The following is a 17,420-nucleotide window of genomic DNA, read 5'->3' on the forward strand; positions in this document are numbered from 1 at the left end:
CACACGTTGTTATGAATTTGTCAAAACCCATAAAAAATGTACAGCACAAAAATGAACTCTAATGTAAATTATGGATTTCAGTTCATAACGTACTAATCTTGGTTCATCAATAATAATAAATATACCACATGAATATGAAGATGCCAATAACAGGGTACACTGTTGGGGAGGAGAGGGCAGATATGCACTTTCCAATCAATTATTCTGTAAACCTAAAACTGCTCTTTAAAACAAGTCTATTAATTTAAAAAAGTCAGAAAAACCAGAACTCAGAAAATATATAAGCATTACTCCTGTCTTGAAAATGAAAACCTATTTTATTTTATTTTATTTTGTTTTTCAGCAAATGGAGACAAAGCTAGAATATCCTACTGTTTAGTCTTCAAGTTATAATTTATATGTGTGTGTATGTATGTATATATATATATAAAGAAACTACCAGTTTCAAGGATTATTAAGTCTTCCCTTAATTCTTAACCTGGCCCTCCAACTCTGTAACATCGTTAGGCAGTGCCTCCCAGTGAGCGCCAAGGCCTGTGGTCTGCGCCTGGGGATGTGGTGCTTTCTCTCACTGGGCCGGTTCTGTTTCTGCTCTTTTCCCTAACCAGAAAGGCTTCTAAAGAGAAAAGATTTCCAATTCTGAGAAAGAAATGGTGGAATCTACCTATTATTTTCATTTTCAAAATAAAAATAACTATTTCTTTTCTTTTCTTTTTTTTTCTTTTTTTGCTTTTACCATGTCTCATATATTTTTCTCAGCCACATCATGGGATAAAACAATAACAAGCTAACCAGATCTGATGTGAGGTTGGTAAAAGAAAAAAAACACAGGGGGGATGAGCCAAGATGGCCGAATAGGAACAGCTCCTGTCTACAGCTCCCAGCGTGACCGATGCAGAAGACGGGTGATTTCTGCATTTCCACCTGAGGTACCGGGTTCATCTCACTGGGGAGTGCCAGACAGTGGGCGCAGGTCAGTGGGTGCACGCACCGTGCGCGAGCCGAAGCAGGGCGAGGCATTGCCTCACTTGGGAAGTGCAAGGGGTCAGGGAGTTCCCTTTCCGAGTCAAAGAAAGGGGTGACGCACCTGGAAAATCGGGTCACTCCCACCCGAATACTGCGCTTTTCCGACAGGCTTAAAAAACGGCGCACCACGAGGTTATACCCCGCACCTGGCTTGGAGGGTCCTACCCCACGGAGTCTCGCTGATTGCTAGCACAGCAGTCTGAGATCAAACTGCAAGGCGGCAGTGAGGCTGGGGGAGGGGCGCCCGCCATTGCCCAGGCTTGCTTAGGTAAACAAAGCAGCCGGGAAGCTCCAACTGGGTGGAGCCCACCACAGCTCAAGGAGGCCTGCCTGCCTCTGTAGGCTCCACCTCTGGGGGCAGGGCACAGACAAACAAAAAGACAGCAGTAACTTCTGCAGACTTAAATGTCCCTGTCTGACAGCTTTGAAGAGAGCAGTGGTTCTCCCAGCACGCAGCTGGAGATCTGAGAACGGGCAGACTGCTTCCTCAAGTGGGTCCCTGACCCCCAAGCAGCCTAACTGGGAGGCACCCCCCAGCAGGGGCACACTGACACCTCACACGGCAGGGTACTCCAACAGACCTGCAGCTGAGGGTCCTGTCTGTTAGAAGGAAAACTAACAAACAGAAAGAACATCCACACCAAAAACCCATCTGTACATCACCATCATCAAAGACCAAAAGTAGATAAAACCACAAAGATGGGGAAAAAACAGAACAGAAAAACTCGAAACTCTAAAAAGCAGAGTGACTCTCCTCTTCCAAAGGAACACAGTTCCTACCAGCAACGGAACAAAGCTGGACGGAGAATGACTTTGACGAGCTGAGAGAAGGCGGCTTCAGATGATCAAATTACTCTGAGCTAAGGGAGGACATTCAAACCAAAGGCAAAGAAGTTGAAAACTTTGAAAAAAATTTAGAAGAATGTATAACTAGAATAACCAATACAGAGAAGTGCTTAAAGGAGCTGACGGAGCTGAAAACCAAGGCTCGAGAACTACATGAAGAATGCAGAAGCCTCAGGAGCCGATGCGATCAACTGGAAGAAAGGGTATCAGAGATGGAAGATGAAATGAATGAAATGAAGCAAGAAGGGAAGTTTAGAGAAAAAAGAATAAAAAGAAATGAGCAAAGCCTCCAAGAAATATGGGACTATGTGAAAAGACCAAATCTACGTCTGATTGGTGTACCTGAAAGTGATGGGGAGAATGGAACCAAGTTGGAAAACACTCTGCAAGATATCATCCAGGAGAACTTCCCCAATCTAGCAAGGCAGGCCAACGTTCAGATTCAGGAAATACAGAGAATGCCACAAAGATACTCCTCGAGAAGAGCAACTCCAAGACACATAATTGTCAGATTCACCAAAGTTGAAATGAAGGAAAAAATGTTAAGGGCAGCCAGAGAGAAAGGTCGGGTTACCCTCAAAGGGAAGCCCATCAGACTAACAGTGGATCTCTCAGCAGAAACCCTACAAGCCAGAAGAGAGTGGGGGCCAATATTCAACATTCTTAAAGAAAAGAATTTTCAACCCAGAATTTCATATCCAGCCAAACTAAGCTTCATAAGTGAAGGAGAAATAAAATACTTTACAGACAAGCAAATGCTGAGAGATTTTGTCACCACCAGGCCTGCCCTAAAAGAGCTCCTGAAGGAAGCACTAAACATGGAAAGGAACAACCGGTACCAGCTGCTGCAAAATCATGCCAAAATGTAAAGACCATCGAGACTAGGAAGAAACTGCATCAACTAACCAGCAAAAGAACCAGCTAACATCATAATGACAGGATCAAATTCACACATAACAATATTAACTTTAAATGTAAATGGACTAAATGCTCCAATTAAAAGACACAGACTGGCAAATTGGATAAAGAGTCAAGACCCATCAGTGTGCTGTATTCAGGAAACCCATCTCACATGCAGAGACACACATAGGCTCAAAATAAAAGGATGGAGGAAGATCTACCAAGCAAATGGAAAACAAAAAAAGTCAGGGGTTGCAATCCTAGTCTCTGATAAAACAGACTTTAAACCAACAAAGATCAAAAGAGACAAAGAAGGCCATTACATAATGGTAAAGGGATCAATTCAACAAGAAGAGCTAACTATCCTAAATATATATGCACCCAATACAGGAGCACCCACATTCATAAAGCAAGTCCTGAGTGACCTACAAAGAGACGTAGACACCCACACAATAATGATGGGAGACTTTAACACCCCACTGTCAACATTAGACGGATCAACGAGACAGAAAGTCAAAAAGGATACCCAGGAATTGAACTCAGCTCTGCACCAAGTGGACCTAATAGACATCTATAGAACTCTCCACCCCAAATCAACAGAATATACATTTTTTTCAGCACCGTACCACACCTATTCCAAAATTGACCACATACTTGGAAGTAAAGCTCTCCTCAGCAAATGTAAAAGAACAGAGATTATAACAAACTATCTCTCAGACCACAGTGCAATCAAACTAGAACTCAGGATTAAGAATCTCACTCAAAACCGCTCAACTACATAGAAACTGAACAACCTGCTCCTGAATGACTACTGGGTACATAACGAAATGAAGGCAGAAATAAAGATGTTCTTTGAAACCAATGAGAACAAAGACACAACATACCAGAATCTCTGGGATGCATTCAAAGCAGTGTGTAGAGGGAAATTTATAGCACTAAATGCCCACAAGAGAAAGCAGGAAAGATCCAAAATTGACACCCTAACATCACTATTAAAAGAACTAGAAAAGCAAGAGCAAACACATTCAAAAGCTAGCAGAAGGCAAGAAATAACTAAAATCAGAGCAGAACTGAAGGAAATAGAGACACAAAAAACCCTTCAAAAAATTAATGAATCCAGGAGCTGGTTTTTTGAAAGGATCAACAAAATTGATAGACCGCTAGCAAGACTAATAAAGAAAAAAAGAGAGAAGAATCAAATAGACGCAATAAAAAATGAGAAAGGGGATATCACCACCGATCCCACAGAAATACAAACTACCATCAGAGAATACTACAAACACCTCTACGCAAATAAACTAGAAAATCTAGAAGAAATGGATAAATTCCTCGACACATACACTCTCCCAAGACTAAACCAGGAAGAAGTTGAATCTCTGAATAGACCAATAACATGCTCTGCAATTGTGGCAATAATCAATAGCTTACCAACCAAAAAGAGTCCAGGACCAAAAATGGATTCACAGCCGAATTCTACCAGAGGTATAAGGAGGAGCTGGTACCATTCCTTCTGAAACTATTCCAATCAATAGAAAAAGAGGGAATCCTTCCTAACTCATTTTATGAGGCCAGCATCATTCTGATACCAAAGCCGGGCAGAGACACAACCAAAAAAGAGAATTTTAGACCAATATCCTTGATGAACATTGATGCAAAAATCCTCAATAAAATACTGGCAAACCGAATCCAGCAGCACATCAAAAAGCTTATCCACCATGATCAAGTGGGCTTCATCCCTGGGATGCAAGGCTGGTTCAATATATGCAAATCAATAAATGTAATCCAGCATATAAACAGAGCCAAAGACAAAAACCACATGATTATCTCAATAGATGCAGAAAAAGCCTTTGACAAAATTCAACAACCCTTCATGCTAAAAACTCTCTATAAATTAGGTATTCATGGGACGTATTTCAAAATAATAAGAGCTATCTATGACAAACCCACAGCCAATATCATACTGAATGGGGAAAAACTGGAAGCATTCCCTTTGAAAACTGGCACAAGACAGGGATGCCCTCTCTCACCACTCCTATTCAACATAGTGTTGGAAGTTCTGGCCAGGGAAATTAGGCAGGAGAAGGAAATAAAGGGTATTCAATTAGGAAAAGAGGAAGTCAAATTGTCCCTGTTTGCAGGCGACATGATTGTATATCTAGAAAACCCCATTGTCTCAGCCCAAAATCTCCTTAAGCTGATAAGCAACTTCAGCAAAGTCTCAGGATACAATATCAATGTACAAAAATCACAAGCATTCTTATACACCAACAACAGACAAAAAGAGAGCCAAATCATGAGTGAAATCCCATTCACAATTGTTTCAAAGAGAATAAAATACCTAGGAATCCAACTTACAAGGGATGTGAAGGACCTCTTCAAGGAGAACTACAAACCACTGCTCAAGGAAATAAAAGAGGATACAAACAAATGGAAGAACATTCCATGCTCATGGGTAGGAAGAATCAATATCCTGAAAATGGCCATACTGCCCAAGGTAATTTACAGATTCAATGCCATCCCCATCAAGCTACCAATGACTTTCTTCACAGAATTGGAAAAAACTACTTTAAAGTTCACATGGAACCAAAAAAGAGCCTGCATCACCAACTCAATCCTAAGCCAAAAGAACAAAGCTGGAAGCATCACACGACCTGACTTCCAACTATACTACAAGGCTACAGTAAACAAAACAGCATGGTACTGGTACCAAAACAGAGATATAGATCAATGGAACAGAACAGAGCCCTCAGAAATAACGCCGCGTATCTACAACTATCTGATCTTTGACAAACCTGAGAAAAACAAACAATGGGGAAAGGATTCCCTATTTAATAAGTGGTGCTGGGAAAACTGGCTAGCCATATGTAGAAAGCTGAAACTGGAACCCTTCCTTACACCTTATACAAAAATCAATTCAGGATGGATTAAAGACTTACATGTTAGACCTAAAACCATAAAAACCCTAGAAGAAAACCTAGGCATTACCATTCAGGACATAGGCATGGGCAAGGACTTCATGTCTAAAACACCAAAAGCAACGGCAACAAAAGCCAAAATTGACAAATGGGACCTAATTAAACTAAAGAGCTTCTGCACAGCAAAAGAAACTACCATCAGAGTGAACAGGCAACCTACAAAATGGGAGAAAATTTTTGCAACCTACTCATCTGACAAAGGGCTAATATCCAGAATCTACAATGAACTCAAACAAATTTACAAGAAAAAAACAAACAACCCCATCAAAAAGTGGGCGAAGGACATGAACAGACACTTCTCAAAAGAAGACATTTATGCAGCCAAAAGACACATGAAAAAATGCTCATCATCACTGGCCATCAGAGAAATGCAAATCAAAACCACAATGAGATACCATCTCACACCAGTTAGAGTGGCAATCATTAAAAAGTCAGGAATCAACAGGTGCTGGAGAGGATGTGGAGGAATAGGAACACTTTTACACTGTTGGTGGTACTGTAAACTAGTTCAACCATTGTGGAAGTCAGTGTGGCGATTCCTCAGGGATCTAGAACTAGAAATACCATTTGATCCAGCCATCCCATTACTGGGTATATACCCAAAGGACTATAAATCATGCTGCTATAAAGACACATGCACACGTATGTTTATTGCGGCATTATTCACATAGCAAAGACTTGGAACCAACCCAAATGTCCAACAATGATAGACTGGATTAAGAAAATGTGGCACATATACACCATGGAATACTATGCAGCCATAAAAAATGATGAGTTCATGTCCTTTGTAGGGACATGGATGAAATTGGAAATCATCATTCTCAGTAAACTATCACAAGAACAAAACCAAACACCGCATATTCTCACTCATAGGTGGGAATTGAACAATGAGATCACATGGACACAGGAAGGGGAATATCACACTCTGGGGACTGTTGTGGGGTGCGGGGAGGGGGGAGGGATAGCATTGGGAGATATACCTAATGCTAGATGACGAGTTAGTGGGTGCAGCACACCAGCATGGCACATGTATACATATGTAACTAACCTGCACAATGTGCACATGTACCCTAAAACTTAAAGTATAATTAAAAAAAAAATACAAAAAAAAAACCAAAAACACAAAGAACCCCTAATAACATCAAAACTTAGATGCAAATTCACTATTCTTACCAATGACCTGTGCCTAAGTGAACATAAAATCAACCATTTCTATACATAACATTTCTCTTCCTTAAGACCAAATTTTTGAAATAATGACTTGGACAAAATTCTAATTTCTATTGCATGATCAACTGGTTGAGTGATATTTTCAGCTTTACTTTCTAATTCTTTTTAGCAGCTCTCAGAACATTTCTAAACCCATATATCATTATTAAATGCCTTTTAAATAATAGTTTTTAAAATCATTATATTTAATAGGACTAAGATATAATAGAAATTTGAAGTAGTTTTTATACTTATGTCAAATTATCCTAAAGGCACAGGATCATTAGTGGAGAAATCTGATTCTCAAAAATGTTTCAGATAAATTAATACTATTCTGGAGGGGAAGAGAACAGATTAATCAGTGAAAAGGAAAGATAATGTTAATGAGTTAAGCACCTAATTATTTTAACTTATTTCAGTATTGATTTAAATAATGTTCGATGGAAGAGGCTGTCTTATCCATGGTCAATACCAATTTAAATTGCTTTAAGAGAATTATTTATTTATACTTTTCTGTGGTACATTTTAATAACATTAAACTACTTAGTCTTCAAGAGGTGAGATTTTTTTAAAGTGTACTTTTTAAAGAGAAATGACAAAACAATAAAAACAAACACCATAATTTTGGTTAAGTAAAAAAATCTACTTCTAAATTTTTGTAAATGTTAGAAGTAGAAAGCAGCAAAATCAAAGTTGCATTTTTACAAAGTCGTTTGTATTTTTTAATAGTTGTTTTCCCACTATGGCCTTCAAAATAAATTTTCTTTCAATATAAAGATACTTGTGAAAACAATCACAAATTTTATACTATTACTCCAGAAATAAATTCATAATTATGTATATAATGCTGGAACATTTCTTATTTTTAAATATTTGAAAGGCAAAAATGTTATATTACTGTTATACACTTTGCTTTTGGCTAATGAGATTAAACATTTCCATTTCGTTTCTGTTAATTGTCTGATAATGTCCATACTGAAATTTTATGTTTGCCTTTTACAAAACTTTGAAGTCCAGAGAGGGCAAACAGATAGGTATTTTCCAATGCTTTCATATTTTATAAGCACCTTTCTATCAGCTGATTACTTATCTAGGTAAGTTATGTTTCTGTGTGTTTAGGAAGAAGTGAGGATCAAATCATTTAGGTTATAGTAATATATTTTTACATATATCACAATTCCCATTCTTCTTCTTTTTTAAGAGATAGAGTCTTACTGTGTTGCCCAGGCTGGAGTGCAGTGGCACAACCATAGCTCACTGTAACCTCAAACAACTGGGCTCAAGTAATCCTCCTGCCTCAGCCTCCCAAGAAGCCAGGACTAAAGGTGTGTGCCACCATGCCTGGCTAGTTTTTTTTTTTTTTTTTTTTTTTGGATAGATGGGTGTCTCAGAGCTGGTCTCAAACTCCTAGCCTCAATCAATCCTCCTGCCTCAGCCTCCCAAAGTGCTGGGATTAGAGGCATGAGACCCATTCTTCTTTTAAAATTATTTTAGCTAATTATGCTCATTTTTAAAATTTTAATATATATTACTGATATTCATGTCTCTAAACTTGCTTACTATTAATTCATTGTCTTTGACAATTGGATAGGAAAGCATACATAACACCAATTTTAAATTAGTTCATTTGATGAGCTAACTAGATTCCTTCCAAAAACATTGATGTGGGGAAAGGCACAAAATCAACAAGGCAAGGGATTGTATTTTTAGTCATGTGAACTACCACAGAGAAAAAATGAGTGCAATATTATCAGGAGAACAGGTTCTTCATTTTCTACATCTATGTTTGATGAGCTTATTTTTGCCTGAGGTGAGGTGGGCCCCTAGGTACATGACGACACAAGGGCTGATCATTCTCACCTCCTTTTGTGTAAATGTCTTCTGTTAGGTATTGGATTCAGTTTGTTAGCACCTAAATATCCTCCTGATAGCCGTAAGGAAGAAATAGCATGTAAATACTATTTTATTTATATTTCAATATTGGGTAATGAAATGATGGTCAAAAGATGATGATGTTATTTTATCCAATGAAATGACACGGTGTTGAATATACTTAATTAGGGAGTAGAGTTATAAGTATGTTTGCTGAAGTCAATAATGTTTGACCTTTGCAAAAGATGACAAAGCAAAAGTGTTAGCTAAAAACTAATCCATTAAATTATTACTTTTTATAATTGATATTATTTTTGGCTATCAAATGCAGCCTGAATTTTTTTTCTAATGTTCAGAGCACAAGATATTTTGAAAAACAATGAGAGAAAATCTTCCTTTTTCTTTTTCTTCCTTTAGTGACACTGGGGTGTAAGAATGAATTTTAGTCTCCCCCAAAATCTAATCACCTCTGAACTGGCTTGGTGATCAGCTTGTTTTTAGGAATACATTTTTACTTAGAAAAGAATCAGTATTTGTTTTAAGCAACACCAAATCCTTGGGGGTCCTTTCCTGATCTTACATATAAATAGTAATAATCACATTTTTAAATAGTTTAATGTTTCTGTTATCTTTTAAACTATTAAAAAAATAAACTAACACTAAACTTTCCAAGAGAATGGCAAAAGCACTGAGGCCACTCTTGTGTGGTTGGTAACTTATCTGCAGTTTTATTAAAATAACTGCTGAGACTGTTTATATGCTTTTTAAATATTCACAGACATTTAAAAATAGAATGCATTTTCTTCTTTAATTTTCAGTTAAAAGAAAGAAATACTTCTGAATCACTGAATATGGACTCACCATAATGAATCTGCTAATTCCCGATTATGTGTCTTGTGGTTTAGTTAAATGACAACTGCATATTTTTGAAGATCAACTACTAATTAGTTCTCAGCGGATTCACAGGAATACTGCTTTCCCTCAATTTGGAAAAGATCATTATAATACTGAAATTTCTCATTTTCATTTGTATATTGTACCCTGTAAGCTGTACTATTTTTGTTTCTCATTTTCATTTGTATATTGTACCCTGTAAGCTGTACTATTTTTGTTTCTCATTTTCATTTGTATATTGTACCCTGTAAGCTGTACTATTTTTGTTTCTCATTTTCATTTGTATATTGTACCCTGTAAGCTGTACTATTTTTGTTTCTCATTTTCATTTGTATATTGTACCCTGTAAGCTGTGCTATTTTTGCACAACTTGTACTCAGTGCTTTCCTCCTGAAGTTGAAAATATTTATGGTTGAAAGCTTAAAAACAAATCAAGACATGTGATCCACAATTTAAATATTAAACTCATTTTAAAATTGAAGCCATTCATAATTTTCCACTCAGACATTATCAGTGAGTTTTACTTCTTTTGTTCCTGCTACCCAATCTTGATATTTTTTTACTCCATTCTAGTTATTTCACCCACTGCTAAGCATTTCTTTTTTTCTTCCATAAGGACAAATTCAAGGAAAAATGGTAGTTATAGACAACACTTTTTTAAACTTTAGCAATGAAACAGCTTAACTGAATCCCATGAAAAAAGTGTATGTTCTTTAACTTTGTTTATTTTCTTTATTGGGTAAAGTAATATTCAAGAACATGTTAAATAAGTTGGGATCTGGAAGCAGCTTTCTAATATTTTACCATTAAAGTGAAATTACAGGATATATTGTGGTTCTGGATAAGTTACATATCCTTATATAAACATGTTACTTACAACTATATTAAACAGAAGAATAAAAAGTGGTACTCTTAAATAATTGACAATTACACTCTTTCCTAGAAATTTGGGTAAAACATTTGGTAGGTGCAATAATGTCTTATACATTTCAAAGGCTGTCAGTTAGCAATCCAGACTGTTTCCCAATAGGTAAATTCAACAACGGTTAGATTCCCCACAATATAGACAGTAGTAAAGTGGCTGATTAAAAAGATGGGAAAGTTTATCACTAGCAATTAAAGAAGCTTCCATTCCAGTTAGATAACTGATAGAATAATTAAATAAAGGATACGTACATATATGTATATTCCTAAAATCAATGGTCAAGACAAGAAGTATTATAACAGTTAGAGAAGTAAAAAAAAAAAAAAAAAAAAAAGACATAGCTGGGCCAAAGAAGGCAAATTATGATAATTGAGAACATGGGAATGGATTTCTTTTTCAAGACACCTTGGTGACTAATGCAATATTTGGAAGATTGTTGAAAATAAGCATTAGAATTTCTGGTGGAATTAATTTAAAACTGTACCTTGTTGAAGTATATTTAAAACACACATATAAAGTAGCAAACAGAACAATTACCTTTAAAATTGGGTCTGATTCTTGCATCATATCCTGATGTCCTGCCCATTAATTTATCCAGAAAATCAGAAGGTGACATTGGAGCACTTCGAGATCTTGCACTGTCTGTTTCCTTTGTGGCAACCAAACTACAAATAAGAACAAAAATATAGACTTTACAAAAAGAAGTATTTCTAATAATTGTTACCTACAAATATAAAATAGAAATGCTGAGCTAAATATCTTTGGCAACAAAACATAAACCTTTAGATATCATACAGTGAAGATTATAATAAGATAGACATTTATAGATTTATAGTCAATACTTGTAAGGTTTCATATCTATTCAGTCCAATTGTCAGAGGTGGCATTCTTTTGTATTAGACCTGAAAACAAAGGCCACTTCCAAAATATTAAGCTTTCAAATCTGTGTTTACAAAAGCCTTATTTCTGATAGCAATTTTTAACCAAATGTATCCTTATTGCTTTAGGTGTAAGAAAACATTAAAATTCAACTGTGAACTACAATCTTATTGCTTTTATTGAGGGAAAACATCTCTTTTCAGGTTTTGTGAATTATTCTTAGCAGTAAAAAACTTCTGTCTAATAAATTAAACAATGTTTTTTTCTTCAATTAGAGTGCTTCCTGAATTAGCAACACACAAAGTTAAATTCATTCTGCTTTTACCTACATGTCATTAGTCTACAATACCTTTCGTTCAGATCTAAAATTTGTGTGTCAAGATTGAGAAATTGCCATAAATGTACCATGTGCACCTGGATATTATATTAGTAGAACCTGTGTCCAGGAAAGGTAGTGTGTTCCTATATTCTTTTCATTCAATTTTTTCCTTTGTGTCCAGCCACTTATCCTAGAAACCCATAGTGTAGGCTGCTTCTCCTGTCCAGCTCTTCACTTACATAGCCTTCTCCAACAGAAGCTGGGGCCTGCTTGTTAAGATCAAATGATTCTTTTTATCCACAGAGTTTTGCTCAGGAAAGTGACACTGACTTTCTGGAACTGATGTGTTCAAGCTGATGTCACTTCCTGAAGATCATCAATCATCACATGCTCCCAGCTCTGTCATTCAACTCAGGACATTGCCAAATCAAACCATTTGGGTCACCACATGATCATAACAAGATCAGTTATTAAATTCCTTAGATTTCTCCTGCCAGAATTTTAGTGAGAAGTACAACTGGGGCTTAGAGCCATCATCATTAAGTTGTTTACCACAGGGATATATGCAGTGATTCATGGGCACAGTTTTAAAATCTCATCAATCTTGGTGATAATATGAGAATGAGATTTCTGTAAGCACAGAATCACAAATAACACTATCTATTAGCTGTTGCCCTGTTCTAGAGGTTCTGTCTGGTTCTGGGCACTCTGAGTCACTTGTTTCCCCAGTGACTCTCATTCTGTCATTCTCGCTTTCTTCCAGAATGGAAGCGTTTTTTCTCCCTATTCTGTTGGCTCCATGTGACTTCGTGATCCTTTATCTCTGATTATTATTGCTCAACCAAACTGTCATTGTGATCATTGGGAAGTTTATTCTAATACAAAAATCATTATAATAATAAATATATTTTTTTAAAAAAACCTATCTTCTCAATGACTCTAGAGCTTTATTCTACCATCTGGTTTTAAGTAACTTTTTCCTCTCCTATCAAGAAGCATTTGTTTATATTCCATGGTTCAAGAATAGTGTGGAAAAGCATCGTTGGATTTTGTAGCTACATGCTGCTGCTTTTAAACCATTCTCTTTATTTCCCTTGCAAAATCTCTCCTTTCAATTATCAGAAAATAAACTTCTACCTCCTCCTACCAACAAATATACCAATTTATCTTGACCTGAACCAATAATACTCTGCCTCCTTCTCTTTTAAAAATACTAGACGATGGCCGGGTGCGGTGGCTCACGCCTGTAATCCCAGCACTTTGGGAGGCCGAAGCGGGTGGATCACGAGGTAAGGAGATCGAGACCATTCTGGCTAACATGGTGAAACCGGGTCTCTACTAAAAAATACAAAAAAAAAAAAAAAAAAAAAGAAAGAAATTAGCCGGGCGTAGTGGCGGGCTCCTGTAGTCCCAGCTACTGGGAAGGCTGAGGCAGGAGAATGGCGTGAACCTGGGAGGTGGGGCTTGCAGTGAGCCGAGATCACGCGACGGCACTGCAGCCTGGACCACACAGCGAGACTCCATCTCAAAAAAAAAAAAAAAATACTAGATGACTATGTATACTGAACCACAATCCTTCACATTGTGCACAGAATGTGGGAACGTTATCCTAGATTATCAAGGGCAGTTCTATATGCAACAACATGTAAGGATATATGTATGTATAAAGATACATGAAACAGTATCCTTATAAGGATATTTATCCTTATAAAAAGGAGGCAGAATTATATTTGATGACAGACAGAAGAGGGAAGGCAATGTGACCATGGAGACAGGAATTGGGGTGACGCGGCCACAGCAAAGGAATGCTGGCAGCCACCAGAAGCTGGAAGAGAAAAGGAATGGATTCTTCCCCAGAGTTTCTGGAGGTAGCACGGACCTACTCACACCTTGATTTTGACCCAGTGAACTGATTCCAGACTTCTGGCCTGCAGAACTGTTAGAGAATAGATTTCTGTTCTTTGTGGTAATTTGCTACAGTTGCCATTGGAAACGAATACCAACCTTCTATTGAATTTTTCATGTCTGTCATGCTGCTTTTCAACCCCAGAATTACTCTTTGGTTCTTTTTTTATAATCTCTATCTCATTATTTCCTTTTTGGTGGGACACTATCATACTTTCTTTTTAGCTCTTTGTACATGGTTTCCTTTAATTTTTAAAATGTGCTTAAAATAGTTGATTTGAAGTCTTTGTCTTGTAATTGCAATGTCTTTGCCTCCCTAAGCATGCTTCTATTGATTGCATTTTTCCTGTGTTTGGTCCATATATTTTCGTTTCTTTGAGAAACTTGTAACTTTTATTGAAAACTGGACATTTTAAGTAATATACTGTGGCGACTATGGAAATCATATTGTCTTTTCTCCCCAGAGTTTGGTGTTGTTGCTCTTTTTTAAATGGACTTTTTTGAACTAATTCTGTAAAGTCTACTTTCTTTATAATATGTGACAATTAGAATATCTACTTGGTTAGCTTAGAGGTCAGCTACTAATTGAACATGGATTTTATTAATTTCTAGAACCAATAAGTGACTCAGTATTTGCTGGGGGTTCTGTGTCATGGGGTCATACCTTCAACACTATGTCAGGCAGTTGATTACTCTGGACTTTACTTTCACTTGTGTGAGGCCTAAAAGTCAGCCAGAGTTGAGCACTAAGGGTGTTTTCAGGTCTTTCCTGAGCATGCACACAACCCTGGGTGTACTACTTTGCTAGTGCTGCCATGACATAGTATCAAGAACAGGTGGCTAATGCAACAGAAATTAACTTTCCCACAATTCTAAAAGTCCAAGATCAAGTTGTCAGCAGGGTTGGTTTCCTCCGAGGCCCTCCCTTGTTGGCTTGTAGATGTCCATTTTCTGTTTTTTTTTAATGATCTTTTCTTCACGTGTGTCTGTTCTAACTTCTTCTTATAAGCACACAAGGCATATTGGATTAGGGCATATTGTTTTACATCAATTACCTCTTGGTAAGGTAACAGACCTTACCTCCAAATAAAGTCATGTCTGGAGGTACTGGCAGGTAGGACTTCAACATAGGAGTGTTGGGAGAAAAAAATTCAGCCCATACGTGTGGCCTTCCAGATAACCAGGAATATATGCAGTTTTTCCAAACCCATATGGACATATCATTCCAATGCTTTCCGTTTAACATTTTTGTTAAGTATATTGTGTGCCCACACTATTACTGATTGCCTTAGGCACCTGTGAAGTTAAAAAAATGACTCTAAATGTTTTAAACAAACTTCTTCAGGAAAAAGGCTTTTGGCGGTGGGTGAACTCCAAGTTAGGTCACAGAAAAATAGATTTGCAAATGGGGTCTTCCAGAAAACCTGCAGACAAGTTAAATAATGATCATTCTTAAAGAATAAGGCCTTAAAGGAGTTCAGACTCCATGCTGTCCCCTCTGGTGGCTGCCAGGTTGTGGACTTTTCCTGTAATTTGGGGCTATTGGTTTACGTTGTCACCACGGAGCTGAAGAGAGGGGGTGGGAAGTTGAGCAAATTATAATGCCACAAATCCCACTGTTTTTACTAAGAGAAAAATGTTTTTCTTCAATATACAACTTCAGGAATCACTACAAGCCTCTGATTAATTGTCAGACTTTTGAAAAAGTTGATTCTCACAATTATTTTTTTGCCAGTTTTCTTGTTGCTTTCATAAAGAAGAGAATTTATGGAGGTCCTTACTCTACTATGTGTTTCTTACTGTATTATTTTTGCTGATGTCACTCTCTAATAATGCCTTCCTAGACTTCTTTTTATATTTGTTTTACTATATCTTTGCTTTAAATAACCATGTCCCTCACAGCTCCATTCTGGAGCTCTTCCATTGCTCTCTTTGTGAGTAATTTTATTTACTCCCATGGTATCAACTGCATACCATGATACCATTTTGCAGGCCTTTCAAAAAAATACCTGTTTTCTTAAGTAATGTCAAAATTTACATTCATTTATTTATTTATTTATTTATTTATTTATTTATTTATTTATATTTAGAGACAGGGTCTTGCTCTGTTGCCTAGGCTGGAGTGCAGCAGCACAATCACAGCTCCCCGCAACGTTGAACTTCTGGGCTTAAGCGATCCTCCTGTGTCAGCCGCCTAATGGGGTCTCACTATGTTGTACAGGCTGGTCTCCAGCTCCTGGACTCAAACAATCCTCCTACCTTGGCCTGCCAAAGCACTGGAATTAGAGGCATGAGCCACTGCACCTGGCCACGATTTGCTTTTAAAAGAAAGGATGCAAAGTCTGTTTTTAGGATTTTCCTATAATATATGTCCAAAAACTGTAGAGTAAATATTCTAAGTGACTGTTATTCTTGTGGCAATAATAAAGGAATAATTCTATCTATCATCTATCTTTTCATATATATTTTCAGATATGGCAAGTATTAGTCAGCACAATAAAGAAAAAATAAAAGACTAAGATTAATTAAGATTAAATCTTAATTAATTTTAGATTTAAGATTTTCACTATCTACCAACAACTTTGACAAAAAAGTAATTTTATTTATCTAGGCAGACCAATGCTAAATTTTAATGATAATAATCCCTTTCATTCATGCAAATCATATCTTGCAAAAGTCTGTCTTTTTCTAGTTTTCATTAACTCATTTCTAAAATATTTTTCCAAATGTTACAATTGAACATTAATCTTAAAATAGAATAAGAAAATAAAAAAATCACATTTTTCTCATCTCATACTAAGCAATCACTTATCCATTGAAACCCACCTATTATAATAGTTTGATATTTGAACCAATATGAGAAATAAGGTATTAAAAATTCTCCAGTAGTGGATGTAGAGATGTCATCTCTGTGCACTTTTTAAAAAAATATTACTCCAAATACAAGTAGTGGTAGGGACTGGCATGTTAAGTGCCACGTGATGCTTGCATTTTCTGTAGTATATGATCATGTTGCTTAAGAACTCCTAGAATTCTGGACATTTATAGGAAGGCAACAGCGTTAAACAATCAAAATACAACACAATTTTATGCACACACGCACACACACACATACACACCACACACTATGCTCACTATAATTGTATTGTCCCAAATTCCTGGTTGAATATTTCAAACCCTATTAACAAGCACTCTCAGCACCCAATTATCCCTTTCGAATAACTAAATTTAAAAAGCAAGATAGTTATTGTTTAAATATGACAAACTCATTCTTAATCTTTTTGAAGGTTAAAAATTGTTATTAATATTTTAAGTCTTATCTCATTTCTTTTGATGTATTCAAAAAACAATAATTGAGCTACTGCAATAACTGCTTTCCTGAAATTTGATCTGATATTGGTTCTGTAAAAATTCTATTTGAAATATACTTTCATTGCCAAAAATATTTGCTTCCAAGTATATTACGTAAAAATCATGACTAATTCACCAGGGGTGGGAATATATAAAAATCCATTTAATAGAGGACAAGAGTTTTATGAGTAGTGGCTCATTCATTTATTTATTTAACAGCCGTTATTGACATGTTCCAAAGAGCCTGGCATCATGCCTAGAATAGTCTCAAAGAGAAAAAAGTTAGAAATAAATAAATAATTATATATATTTATATTGT

The 17,420-nt window shown here is 36.5% G+C and overlaps 1 protein-coding gene across 8 annotated transcripts in view, besides 1 other annotated feature; it reads right to left on the minus strand.

The window, feature by feature from the left end:
• The window catches only part of GLRA3 (glycine receptor alpha 3), a 192,328-nt gene that overhangs the window by 140,712 nt on the left and 34,196 nt on the right, over positions 1–17,420 (minus strand). For all 8 annotated transcript variants that reach the window (XR_001741329.2, XM_047416196.1, XM_047416195.1 and 5 more), the window contains one exon: positions 11,185–11,312. Coding sequence is in view for 7 of the 8 variants with exons in the window: in XM_047416196.1 (XP_047272152.1) it covers positions 11,185–11,312 (128 nt within the window). In the remaining variant the exon portion in view is untranslated. The remainder of the gene's footprint in view (positions 1–11,184; positions 11,313–17,420) is intronic.
• Positions 1,149–1,729: an enhancer, noted in NCBI's record as "H3K27ac-H3K4me1 hESC enhancer chr4:175699931-175700511 (GRCh37/hg19 assembly coordinates)". NCBI's record gives its function as "activates a minimal SCP1, AML or CMV promoter by ChIP-STARR-seq in naive and primed H9 embryonic stem cells {active_cell/tissue: H9 hESC(naive and primed)}" and the evidence as "EXISTENCE:reporter gene assay evidence [ECO:0000049][PMID:30033119]".

This window comes from Homo sapiens, chromosome 4, assembly GCF_000001405.40.
Source record: "Homo sapiens chromosome 4, GRCh38.p14 Primary Assembly".
Classification (NCBI taxonomy): Eukaryota; Metazoa; Chordata; class Mammalia; order Primates; family Hominidae; genus Homo; species Homo sapiens.